This window comes from Homo sapiens, chromosome X (assembly GCF_000001405.40).
Source record: "Homo sapiens chromosome X, GRCh38.p14 Primary Assembly".
Taxonomy (NCBI): Eukaryota; Metazoa; Chordata; class Mammalia; order Primates; family Hominidae; genus Homo; species Homo sapiens.
The window spans coordinates 7181892-7195508 of NC_000023.11; the positions used below are offsets into that span (position 1 = coordinate 7181892).

Here is a 13617-nt window from a genome sequence, read left to right on the forward strand (position 1 = left end):
CCTGGGCAATATGATGAAACAAACAAACAAAAAAATATACAAATCGGTGGCACACACCTGTAGTCCCAGCTACTTGGGAGGCTAAGATGGGAGGATTGATTGAGCCTGGTAGGCAAAGGTGGCAGCATGCTGAGATTGCATCACTGCACTCCAGCTAGGTCAACACAGTGAGTCCCCCTGTCTCAAACAAAAAAACAAAAAAACCTCAAAACAACCAATGATGATTATTTTTGTCATACCTTCATTCTGTTTTCCAAGCATCCCGCGATATTGGCTTTATCTATCAATCATAGAGCAGGCACTTACTAATTCATCCCACAGTGGTTGCCAGAAAGAGTTGGGTCTAGCTGAAGAGGAGAGAGGTAAAGCTATTGCACATGTGCATGCTGTAGGGGTGGGCTCAGTACTGATAGTGTGTCCTCACGTGCAGGGTGCTGGCTTCTTCTTGAGCGAATTCTGTTCCCCTGGCCTCAGCTGGCAGATACTCCTTATCATGGGGTGGCTGTAACTTGCATCAAGGCCTCCTGGAGAGCTTTTGGGGCCGGGTACCTAACTACAAGCAGAAATGGACTCTAGCATTCCCACTGACCTTTCACCACTCTGGTCCTTGTGCCTATAGTGTCTTTTCATAAATACAACCTGTTATTGGAGCGATTGGTGGAATATTGGATAGGAAAGTGCTTTGAACAACAGTAAGTGCGCATGGATTGTATAAGGTCCCTGGGTTTGATTTATGGGTGCTGCTTTGAGGAATGATAGAAATGAGGAAATTTATAACAATTCTCAGATATGACAAAAGACAGTGAGCTCCAAATCAGCCTTGCCTTCCCTGTCTACCTCTCTAGACTCTGCGGGGGGTGGTAATCTGGAGACCTCCATCAGTTCTTACAGATGGGACCTTACAGAAGGGACCTTATATCAGTTCCTCCATCAATTCTGCTTGCAATGAGCTGAATAGTCCCCCCAAAATCATGTGATTCCCACGACCTCAGAATGTGACCTTTTTTGGAAATAGAGTTATGGTGGATGTAATTAGCCAAGTTAAGATGAGGTCATGCTGGAGTAGGGTGGGCCCCATCCAATATGATTGGCGTCCTTATCAAAAAAGAAGACACTCGCGGAGGCATGATGTGAAGACACGCAGCACAAATGCCCTATTTCCACAGAGGCAGAGATTCAGGTGATAGATCTATAAGCCAAGGAGTGCCAGCAGTCAAATAAATGCTTTATATTTTGCTTGATTTTTTTTCACATTTACAGTTTTCATCCAGGTTGATATTTATAAGATGTACTTTTGCACAGGTCTTCATGTCCAATTTGGTGTTAATCTTAAACCCTAAGACTATTCATAGTTCCCCAGGAGAAACCTTCAGAACTCATTGTACAATTTAAGCAATAAATCCAGCAAATGTTTAGTAAGACCTCCCTCTGTCTGCTGCTGGACACAACCTCGTGGACAATGGAAATAAAAAGAAGATGTGGCTTCCATTGGGAGAATTACACAGTGGATTCAGGGAGACAAGATGTAAATGCCCCCCAAACTAAGATGCAAAAGGGCAAAATCACTTGCCCAAGATCACACAAGTAATGACTCACTGAACTAGAATTTGAGCCTCACTGTGCCTGGTCCACAGCTAAGGTTTTTACTGTTTCCTAACGCACACAGAGTTTGTTACAGTGGATATTAATCACATCACCAATGTAATCTTGCAAAAGAAGACATTTCCATTATGTAGAGCATAGGAATGAGAATAGTCAAATGATTCCGAATGCCTTCCATTCTTTTTGAGATTTCAAATCACCAATTAGCTCTTTCAAAATTGTAATACCGGCCGGGCATAGTGGCTCATGCCTAATCCCAGCACTCTGGGAGGCCGAGGTGGGTAGATCACCTGAGGTCAAGAGTTCAAGACCAGCCTGGCCAACATGGCGAAACCTCATCTCTACTAAAAATACGAAAATTAGCCATGTGTGGTGGCAGGCGTCTGTAATCCCAGCTACTCAGGAGGCTGAGGCAGGAGAGTCACTTGAACCCAGGAGGTGGAGGTTGCAGTGAGCTGAGATCATGCCACTGCATTCTAGCCTGGGCAACAAGAGTGAAACTCCATCTCAAATAAAAATAAAAAAAAAAATGGCAATACCCTTAGCATAAATGGAAGACTAGCAATTCTCCCACCATGAACAAGCCAAAAAGTGGCTTGAGTAACTTTGCAAAACACAAATCAAATTCATTGGCCAGTTTGAAACTATCCCCAATGCACAACAAGGAAGCAACAGAAGAAAATTCTGCAGTTGAAATTCTTCTCCCTTATTGGGTCAACATTATTATGTTTAGCTGATTTAGGGAATTAGCTTCATCATAAATTCAAATCTGGTTCTATTTTAGGCATCAATGCCATTTTATAGTTAGGCTCAACTACCAAAAATTCTAGCAATTTCCATCGTGGTCTTGAAATAAACCCAGACTCCCTGCAGCATGACTGAGTTTCCACCATGCAAAATGAAGAAATAATTGCCTGGAATTTTTAAAAAATCATTTTGCATTGCCAATTAAAAATTTACTCCTGCAAGACAGGGGCTTCTGTAAATCAGGGATGTGAGGGATTTGGTCTGATAATTCCAGGTGTTCTTCATGTATAGAGTGACACTTTGACATCCGCTTTGATTAAATTCAGGGTATTTCCACAGTCTTGGGTGACACATGCTGAATATTGATACACATCCCAAATATCTCATCTGAAGCCCTGAGAGCCAGGTGTTTTCTGGAATTCAGTTACGCATATTTTAGGAAGATAATATATGCCTTTACTTTACCTCCCAAGACACTCTCAGCAGGTGAGGGCAACATTCAATAATCAAACACATTAATATTTTTGCAGAAAAATGTATGACTATTCCTCCCAGTGGGATGCAGGAAGACCACAAGTGGTATAATATAGTGCATTTTTATAGTAATGCACTGGTAAATTAAATTGTGTGATGACAGACCATCAGTACCCTGGGCACTTCTGATTTCTAAGTAAAACATCAGAGAGAGTCAATTCAGAATAAGTTAAATACCTTTACACATACTTGCAATATACATCTGTGACCTCTGGTTGCTTCGGCTTTTTGAGAAGAGGTTGCATCAGGGCTGTCATAGGTCTCTCACTGAGTCTGAGTTGGCCACGTGTTGTTGGCCAGAGAACAAGAATGATCAGGGAACATCTTCTCCAAGGATGAAATGGCAATGTGAAAAATGACCCTTTAAAAGACTTCTCCCATTGCCGTCTGTCATGTGAACCTGGCATTCTCTCAGAGCATTTTTGCTAGTTGAATGAACTGTCTTACCCACTCATTCTCAAGGCCAACAATGAACAGATCACACATTCTAACCCTATCATCTAGGTCAGGGGTTGCAAACATTTTCTGTATAGGACTGCATAGTAAATATTTTCAGCCTTGTGGAGGATACAGTCAGCTCTGCAATTGTATTTCAAAAGTAGGTGTATAAAGGAATGGGCATGGTGTATTTCAATAAATCTTTATTTAGAAATACAGGTGGTAAGCTGGGTTTGGCCCATGGCCATACTTAGCTGACCCCTGTTGCATGGCTTTTTTTTCACTGTGGTTCACAATTCCATTATTATTATTACTATTATTCTCATGCTTATCAGTATATGGCAAACATAAAGTTAAAATGCACATCTTCTCTTGATGGAATACAAAATTCCTTGGCCATAAGTTTATATTAAATACATTTCATATTGAGGAAAAGAGCAGTACCTAAAACATTTCATTTTTAATGAAGTCTGAAGGAGGGAGGACACTTCAGAAACTATATTATTTTATGCTTTTTCTGTTAGCCCCGATTGTCTGCTACTGGTATGCTTGTTATTAGATTACTCAAAAAATGTTTCTCAGGAAATTCCTATTTGCATGATGATGAATAGGTAAATTGAGTTAACATTTCCATCATTGTGGATGTTGGCTTTTTCCAGTCACTGACAACTTTACTTTGTGTTTGCCTTTGAGTGTTAACACAACCAAGGACTGTCAATCCAAGCTTGCAGACCTCCCTCCTGTTGGCTTTTGTTAGGTGTTGTGAATGGCACAAGATCGGACAACAAGGTCTGCACATATTTGTGTCTTTCCACGAGGTTGGACTTGTGAAAATGTTTATTCAGTCGTAAAAGCCACAAGAGCCAATTCTCCTTAGTGCTAAGCACTCCTTATTACTTCTTAGTACTTCCCATTCACTTGGTAGCCAGAGCCAGGGACACACAGGCTCAAGCCAGTTTACAACAGTCAATATTGCAAACCAAACATGGCAGTATACTTAATCAATATATAAATGTTCTAGATTAAACATTCCATAACACATGTTAACATGTGTTGTAACATTTAACATCCATATAAAGGGGATAGGAAAAGGAGTTAATGAACCAGTCCATGGAGAGTGACATGGACAAGGAGAGTGTTCTGGGCTGATCTGGATGATAGCCCACATCTTGTAAAGAAGAGGCCTTGATTTGGGCAGAGGGTTCAGCAGTGGGTACATGGAGGAGACCACGAGTGTTAGCAAGACGGGGTCTAGTGAGGTGGTCATGTTGAACTGGTGAAGTCCTGCTAATATCCCCCTGAGTCCTCTGGTGAGGGGTGACAGTAAAGGGTTACAACCTCATCTGATTGGGTGCAGTCTGTATTGATTGGGCGAACATCTGGTCCTATTGGGAAGATGCCTTCTGAAAAGCAAGATGTAATCTTCTCCTAAGATGGAGTCACTTATGTCAAGAGTGCTCCTATACATTAGAGTTTCTCTAGGATTATAGCTTAGTAGCAAGGTGGGCTATTTGATCAGCAAGATGAGGCTATTTGATCAGCATTGTAAATATTTCCGGGAATAAACTGTTTCTTTAAAATCAGATATCATCTTAGGTCAAGTCATGGGAAATAGACTCTGAGGTGCTCAGGAGATTTTTTGTGGGGAGTGTATTCTTGGGGTCAACACTTGCAGGGGAGTGAGGAAAGGAAATTGAGGCCAAGGGAGGAGTTGAGCAGCACAGCTGTTGCAACAAAGACCTCAGCTCATTTCAGAGGGAGCTCTGGAGCCAGGAAGGTCCCTCAGAGGTTTCCCACCTTGAGGCAAGGAGATGCCATCCCCTTGGAAAAGGCAGTTCTCTTTGACCGAGGCCAGTTTCCAGAGACAGACTTTGCTAAGTGTGTCAGCCATCAAAACTATCAGCAGCAGCTGGGGGAGGAAGACTTGGGTCTTCCCTTGACATCTAAGTTGCTACCACAGCACCCACAAAGGACGTTCTCTGTGCAAATTCTCGGCACCATACTCTATGTCTTCCTCTTCAAAATACACTTTTTCACCCTGGATTACCATTTACCCTTGTAAATTCCTTCAATCAATCTCTAGAATATTCACAGTGGTTTTCAGTGCTTACTTCTACATGGAATGTTCTGGAAGCTTTCACGAGAAAGTAGGATAAATGACTCATCCTAGCTTGCCTGAGACTGTCCCAGTTTGAAAACTGGACCTCATCAGTCCTAGACACACTGGGATGTGGTTCACCCTATGGCAAATCAATCAGTCAAATTTCAACAACTAACCTTTCCACTTTGTATACTACAGTCAGTCTTCTTTAATAACTACACGGCCTGGGCTATGGCTAAGGAGAAATGCATTCTCTTCTTCTTCTCACTGTTGAACATAGGATGCCTTTAACTCTTTTTGACATTTTCACAGTCAAAATTAAACCCGTGCCATTAAACCTGAAGTCACAACAAAGTAACACAATACTAATGAACAGCAGAAGCTGGTAGGCTGAGACAAGACTGATGCCTCAAGTTGGTTCAGTCTGGGTTTTGATGCTCAATACAACAAAATGGGCATTACAAAAATCATTTGGTTTTCAGGGCTTTTTGTGTCTCAGAATTATGGACAACGGATGGCAAACCCCAATGGCATTCTTAGATCATTATCATTTTCAGACTTGTACAACTGGAATTTCATTTGGAGGGGGCATGCAAATGAGAAAAATGGCCAAGCAAATGGCAGTTGTGAGGATTATAGATAAACAGAGACTCAAGGGGATAAAGATGCATACTTATTATCTTTGAACACACAAATCAGAATGTAGGTTCCTCATAATAAAACAGGCTTAACCAATCTTCTTGCTCTGTGACTACAGTTTGGATTATATATTTTATCAGAAGAGACTTATTTTCATATAACTTGTGATAGTAACAGAGGAATCACCATAGTTACTAGGTGCGATTGTTTGAGTCAGCTGGGTACCATTCCCCTTCACCCCTAAAACCTATTTGCCTGTGCTTGTAGCCACACCCACTTTAATGAGCATTGGATGAGTGATCTAGCACAGCATTCCTAAACCTTGGCACTGTTGACACTTGGGAGAAGACCATGCTTTGTTGATTGAGGGCGGGCACTGGGCTGGATAGTTCTTTGTCTTGGGGGCTGCCTTGTGCATTGTAAGATATTTACCAGAATTCCTGCCCTCTGCCTACTGGATACCATTACTGTCCCCCAAATTGCAACAACCAAACCTGTTTCTACATATCACCTTCTGTTCCTGGTGGGGTAAAATTACTCCTGGGTGAGAACCCATCTCATACTAATTTGAAAAATGTCCTCGGAACGTGGGCCTTTAGATTTTCCATTGTGCTGTTTCATTCTGTAAGTATAGGCTCTTCGTGGCAGTACCACTGTGATAAGCATTGTGACTTAATCCCTTCAGATATGTTCTTTGTCTTCATTTCTCACTGGGGGGTTGGTAAGCACTGAGTATCAAGTGTGGGTCAAAGAGCTTCCATGCTGATACCTTAAAATCTATTTTCTGTAAATAAAAGGTGGGGACAAAAAAAGGAAAATAATGACCTTTCTTATCTCGCAAGGAGAGACGCCCAATTGTTCAAACCCACATCCATGCAATCTTAGTCTTGCCTGATGATGTCATGGTGAATGAGCAGAAGGGGAGACCCTGCCCAGTGGTTTTGTCATTCCTGCAGTGGGAGGTTAAGGATCAATGTTGACAGCACACTATTCCATTTCAACAAGAATCTAACATGAAAAGCCATGCTGGAAGATTGATTACAGTTTCAAATGCCATCTCTGGGGGGAAAAAATAACATTTCTGAGATTCTGATTGAACCTCAGAAATTGTTGCTAGAAGCCTAACTTTAATAAAGCAAAATCCACATTTATAAAAATCTATATGGAATGGTAATTTTTCTCTGATGTGATATTCTCTTGTGAATATTTTTTTTTACCAAGTGGGATTATGCTTCATATTTCAAAGCATAAACAATAGATTTATATATTAATAAATAGTTCAAGACATATACTAGATTTTTGGTCTAAATGTCAACAAGTTAAAAGAAAAGTCTTCAATAGGTTCAAAGCTATCTTCTTGGCTTTCTTTTGAGACCCATTTTCTATTCATTTCTAGGACTTTGTATCAGAGGTCAAAAAACTGTTTCTGTAAAGGGTTAGATAGTAAATAAATATTTCCAGCTTTGAGGGACAAATAGTATCTATCACAACTACTCAACTCTGATATTGTAGCACAAAAGCATTAAGGGAGTGGAGGCAGCTGTGTTCTGATACACTTTGTATTACAGACACCGAAATTTGAGTCTTACGTACTTTTCACATATCCCAAAATAATATCCTTTTTTCAACCATTTAAACATGTAAACATTCTATGAAAACAGGTGTCAGGACAGATTTTTCTTGTGGGCCATTGTTTGTGCAAACCCAGCCCTATTCAGAAAACATCTATTGAGTGTTTGCTGTGGTGAACAAATGAGATGTGGTCTCTGCCTTCTTGATCCTTAGAGCTGTGGAAAGGACAGCTGTCACATGAATAAATCAGGAAATAAATGAATCTATTATACAAGTAGTAATAATTGCTATCTGGGGGAAAAGAGGTGCTATAATAGTCAACAGTGGGGGAGCCTGCTTCATACAGGGTAATGAAGGAGGGCTTCCTTGTGGCAGTGGTGTAAGCCAAGAGGTGAGGATGGGTAGGAGTTAGGCAGAGAGTGGGAAGAAGAAAAGTGGGGAGAGAAATCCTCTAGACCAGCAGTCCCCAACCTTTTTGGCATGAGGGACCATTTTTGTGGAAGACAGTTTTTGCATGGACAGGGAGGGGGATGGTTTTGGGATGATTCAAGTGTGTCACATTTATTGTGTACTTTATTTCTATTATTATTACATTGTAATATATAATGAAGTAATTATACAACTCACCATAATGTGGAATCATTGGGAGCCCTGAGCTTGTTCTCCTGCAACTAGATGGTCCCATCTGGAGGTGATGGGAGACAGTGACAGATCATCAGGCATTAGATTCTCATGAGGAGTGTGCAACCTAGATCTCTCGCATTTGCAGTTCACAATAGGTTTTGTGCTCCTATCAGAATCTAATGCCATGGCTGATCTGACAGGAGGTGGCGCTCAGGCAGTAATGTGAGTGATGGAGAATGGCTGTAAATACAGATGAAGCTTGGCTCACCTGTTGTTTACTTCCTGCTGTGCAGTGTGATTCCTAAGAGGCCTAGGGGTTGGGAACCCCTGCTGCAGTAAAGAAAGAGCTTAAGAGGCTGGGCACAGTGGCTCACACCTATAATCCCAACACTTTGTCAGGCTGAGGCTCTGTTTAGCCCAGGAGTTTAAGACCAGCCTGGACAACATAGTGGGAACCTGTCTCTACCAAAATTACAAAAATTAGCCAGCTGTGGTGGTACACCTGTAGTCCCAGCTACTTGGGAGGCTGAGGTGGGAGGATTACTTGAGCCTGGGAGGTCAAGGCTGCAGTGAGCCATGATCATGCTGCTGTCTGGGCAATAAAGTGAGACCCTCTCTCAAAAAAAAAAATACTAATAATAAATAAATAAATAAAAGAGCACATGTCATTTAAGTATGTCAATATATGATTACCCAGCGTGTGATTATTCATCTTTTGAATGAATTCACAGGAAGAGCCCGATGCCCTTGGTTTGACTCTACTAAGAGCCCCTCAGTTGCTGAACCTGCACACAGTCATCTCAGTAAGTTAAGATCTTCCTGAGGACAATGGCGCAAGATCGTCTTCAGCTGTTCATAGCGTAAGTATGAGAGGTGCATATGTTTGTATCTTCGCCCTGAAACTCAAGTGTTTGACTCACCCAGACCATGTTGTCTAAGTCAAATAGTGGTATGCAGTGATCTTGATAATGGTATTGAGGACATTCTGTTATTGCAGGGATGACATACACATGGTGCTATTGCAGCTATCTTTCATTCAGAAAGAACTTTCCATCAAAAGGTCAAAGGGGAGCATCTGTGGGGCAAATATATTTTTATAGAGAAAGACTGTCCTGGGCCAATGGGGGCAGCGTGCATAATCTGATGAGCATAAGCAAGTGGCCTATTATGTGGCAAGTCTAGAGGAATATAGGTATGGGGGCTTACAAATGATTTAATGCATCCTCTGGACCCTTGAGGTGGCTCTACTCTAGTTGAATCAGCAAAGGTACAGAAACATGGCACAGTGGGAAGGCTCACAGTACACCTGTTCTCAGCTGATCAGCTGCAGCAATACCTGAGGGACAGAATGGGGTCCCTCCTCTCAGGAAGAGCTCCTCCGCCTGGTGGAGGTGAGGGCTGAGGTCATACCCAGGTCTCTCCCTGCAGGAAGAGCTCCTTTCCCTGGTGGAGTTGAAGGTTGAGGGTATATCCAGGTCCCTCCCTGCAGGAAGAGCTCTTCCCCCTGGTGGAGGTGGGGTCTGAGGGCATAACCAGGTCTCTCCCCGCAGGAAGTGCTTTTTCCCCTGGTGGAGTTGAAGGTTGAGGGCATACCCAGGTTCATCCCTGCAGGAGGAGCTCTTTCCCCTGATGGAGGTGAGGGCATACCCAGGTCCCTCCCTGCAGGAAGAGCTCCTCCCCCTGGTGGAAGTGAGGGCTGAGGGGCAGAGCATGGTCCCTGCCTGCAGGAAGAGCTCTTTTCGCTGATGGGAGGTGAGTGTGCATGGTGCAAGTCTTTAGGGTGGATGAGGGAAACATAGTTTTAAAAGCCCCTGCAGGGAAGAATCCCTGTTATTTTACACCTGTTCTTGGACATGTCTGGACCACTATGGCACTATGCTATCAGAACACCAGGGGGCACAATATTTGGCCATTCAGAGCATTTATGGTCCCCCATAGCAGCTGGCTCAAAGAAATGGGCAGGAAGATACTTTTGGAGGAGATATTTGGTTCAAATAAGTGTGAAGAGACTCCCAAAGTCAGAGACCCTGGGGCTGGGGATTCCATCCCACCCCATGCTGGCAGTGTGTTCCCAGGAGAACGTTTCACCTCTTCCTGCCTTAGTTTCCTCCTTTGTAAAAAGCGACTTAAAGATGCTGGGCCCGGTGGCTCAGGCCTGTAATCGCGGCACTTTGGGAGGCCGAGGCGGGCAGATCGCCTGAGGTCAGGAGTTTGGGACCAGCCTGGCCAACATGGTAAAACCCCATTTCTACTAAAAATACAAAGATTAGCCCGGCATTGTGCCATGCACCTGTAGTACCAGCTACTTGGGAGGCTGAGGCAGGATAATCGCTTGAACCCCGGGGGCAGAGGTTGCAGTGAGCTGAGATTGTGCCACTGCACTCCAGCCTGGGCTACAGAGCAAGACTCCATCTCAAAAAAAAAAAAAAATAGATGAACGGCAGTTTCATAGGGTGCTTATGAAACGTAAAAGATGACCTCTGTTTTGGGAAAAATGTGGTGAAGACCTGGATGATCCTGCCAGCCAGGGAGATGGGAGCTGAAAGCGGGCTTGCAGGGTGATTTAATGATTTTCAGAAGGCAGCTTCGGGGGTTACGGATGGTAGTAGTTATGTGTCAGGGTAGACTTTGCCCTTCAGAGAGAATTTGGTAAAGTTTGGAGACATTTTTGGTCGTCAGAACTTTGGAGTGGGGTGCATGTAGTGGGTGGAGGCCAGGCGTGCCGCTAACCATCCCACGGTGCACCCACAGTTCCTCACAAATCCGAAATGTCGTGCTGAGGGCGACAAACCCTGCTCACTGCAACAAGAGGCTTTAACTTAATCTTCTCTTTCTTCCTAGAATAGTCAATGGTCTTTTACTTTGAGGGATATGAGTCAGAATAAGAATTAAAGAGAACAAAAGGACAATGACCTTTTAGGATTTTTCTTTCTATTAAATTTAAACCCCATAACAGAGGATTCTCCGTCTGAAAGCAACATCCGTGGAGGCTTAAAGCCTCAGCTTATATTCATTCCTAACACTTAGCAGCTTAACAGATTCATTTTCCATTGTGATTTCTGTAATTTGTTCTTTAAAAGGATTGTGTGTTCCTTTTTCTGTTTCAGAAACAAACTTTTTGGGCATTTTCAAGAATAATTTATTTTCTAAAGTTATTGATAATACACGGGCTGGCATGAATTTCTGACCTCGCTTTCAAAGTCTTTAGCACCAGCTAAGTAGGGTTTTTTGTTGTTGTTGTTGTTGTTGTTTATTTAATTTCTTTGGAAACTGTACATTTTGCAGGGAAATGCTTTAAGTACCTTTTTTTTTTTTCGGTCATTTTAGTCTACGGGAGAGATTGACATTCCCTAGATCCAGCTAGAAGGGCTCTGAAAAAAATGACAGATGCAGTAGCTAATTAAAAATATGCAGCTGAAAGGGTTCATGATTAATTCATGATAAACGAATACAGCATTCATTATCCTTTCCTAATGTTCTCAGATAAAGTGGGAGTGTTGCAGTGGGGGTTAAAATATTTGTTCTAAATATCTAGTAACAGTGTCCATTCTATCTTACTAGCATAAAGCCATCCTCATAGAGGTATTTTAATGTGCTTCACAATTCAGAATTCAGGGTTCTTACATACAGAGTATTAAACTCTCTCCCTCCCATAAATGGATGAAGACTTTGGGGATTGTCAGGAGAACACTTATATTGTCTGTAGTTTTCCTGATTTGTTCTCCTCCAAGGAAAAGGTTTAGTAATAGGAAAATATTATTATTATTTTTTTTGAGACAGACTCTCACTCTGTCGTCCAGGCTGGAAGTGCAGTGGCACAATCTCAGCTCACTGCAACCTCCACCTCCCGGGTCCAAGTGATTCTTCTGCCTCAGCCTCCTGAGTAGCTGGGACTACAGGCAAGCGCCACCACGCCCGGCTAATTTTTGTATTTTTAGTGGAGATGGGGTTTCACCATATTGGCCAGGCTGGTCTCGAACTCCTGACCTCGTGTGGAGGCTGGGATTTTTAAGGACAGTTTGGCGGGCAAGAGGCTAGAGAATGGGAAAGGCTGATTGGCACCATCAGCAAAGAAATCACAGAGTTATCAAAACTGTCGTTGTGTGCCGAGTCAGTTCCTGCATGGGGGTCACTGGTCCAGTGACGTCACTTGTTCCACCAGAATGCAAAATCTGAAAAATATTTTACATACCAGTCTTAGGTTTTACAATAGTGATGTTATCTATAGGGGCAATCAGGGAAGTTGCACATCTTGTGACCACCAGCTACATGACTCCTGAGCAGTAAGCAGGTTACGAAGCAATGGCTAGTTATCATGCAACTATGTATAGGTCTTAGCAGAATGCAGGTCCCTCCCACAAGTCTAACCTTGGGGCCGTTCATTAGTTTTACAAAGGTGGTTTTGGTCCCCGAACAAGGAGGGGTAGTTTTGGGAAGGGACTGTTGTCATCCTTGCTTTAATGTTAAACTGTAAACTAAAATCCTCCCGTAGTTGACCTGGCCTACCCAGAAATGAACAAGGGAAGTTAGCTTGTGACATTAGAAGCAAGATGGAACCAGTTATGTTAGATTTCTCTCACTGTTACAATTTTTGCATAGGCGTTTTTCAAATTCCTATTGCTTTGTTACGTGATACAGTCACGCATCGCTGGATGACAGGGATACGTTCTGAGAAATGCTCTGATGGGTGATTTAGTCACCGCGTGAACATAATAGAGTATACTCACACAAACCTACTATACACGCAGACTGTATGGTATGGCCTATTGCTCCTACACTAAAAACCTGGACAGCAAGTGACCGTACTGAATACTGCAGGCGGTTGTAACACAATGGTAATTATTTGTGTATCTAAACATGTCTAAACATAGAAGGTACTGTAAAAAATATGGAATTATAATCTTATAGGACTACCATTGTATATATGATTCATCGTTACCCGAAACATCGTTATGTAGTACATGACTATATTTATAAAATAAGTGTGGAGGCCGCAATGTTTCTTTTCCATGTTGCTTCTTTATGTAGTATTCAGCACGTGGGAGATTTTTGTCAAGAAGTGCATTTAGAACTTGTCTTTGGTAATACCTGTACCACCCTCCAAACTTCTCAACTTCTACTCTTTTACCCAAGACAGGGTTCACGTGACAACATAATGACTACTGAATACAATCTCTAGAGTTGTCTCAGGATTTATAGACATAGTAGTGGATTTCACACTTCCCATTCTGTGTTTGTCTCTGCATGGTTTGCAGAATCAGGATTAACACAGGTGTTGTGGCTCTGTGGACCTGTGAATTAGTGCAAGAGCGACAAAGCCTGTCTTGCTTTTTCTCGGCAAGCACACCCTGGCTTCAGAA

The 13617-nt window shown here is 42.5% G+C and overlaps 1 protein-coding gene across 3 annotated transcripts in view; it reads left to right on the top strand.

Moving 5' to 3' along the window:
- STS (steroid sulfatase) overlaps positions 1-13617 on the top strand; it is a 207352-nt gene that overhangs the window by 34602 nt on the left and 159133 nt on the right. For all 3 annotated transcript variants that reach the window (NM_001320750.3, NM_001320751.2, NM_001320752.2), the window contains one exon: positions 8989-9117. In NM_001320750.3, the coding sequence (NP_001307679.1) occupies positions 9086-9117 (32 nt within the window). In that variant the 5' untranslated portion in view covers positions 8989-9085. The remainder of the gene's footprint in view (positions 1-8988; positions 9118-13617) is intronic.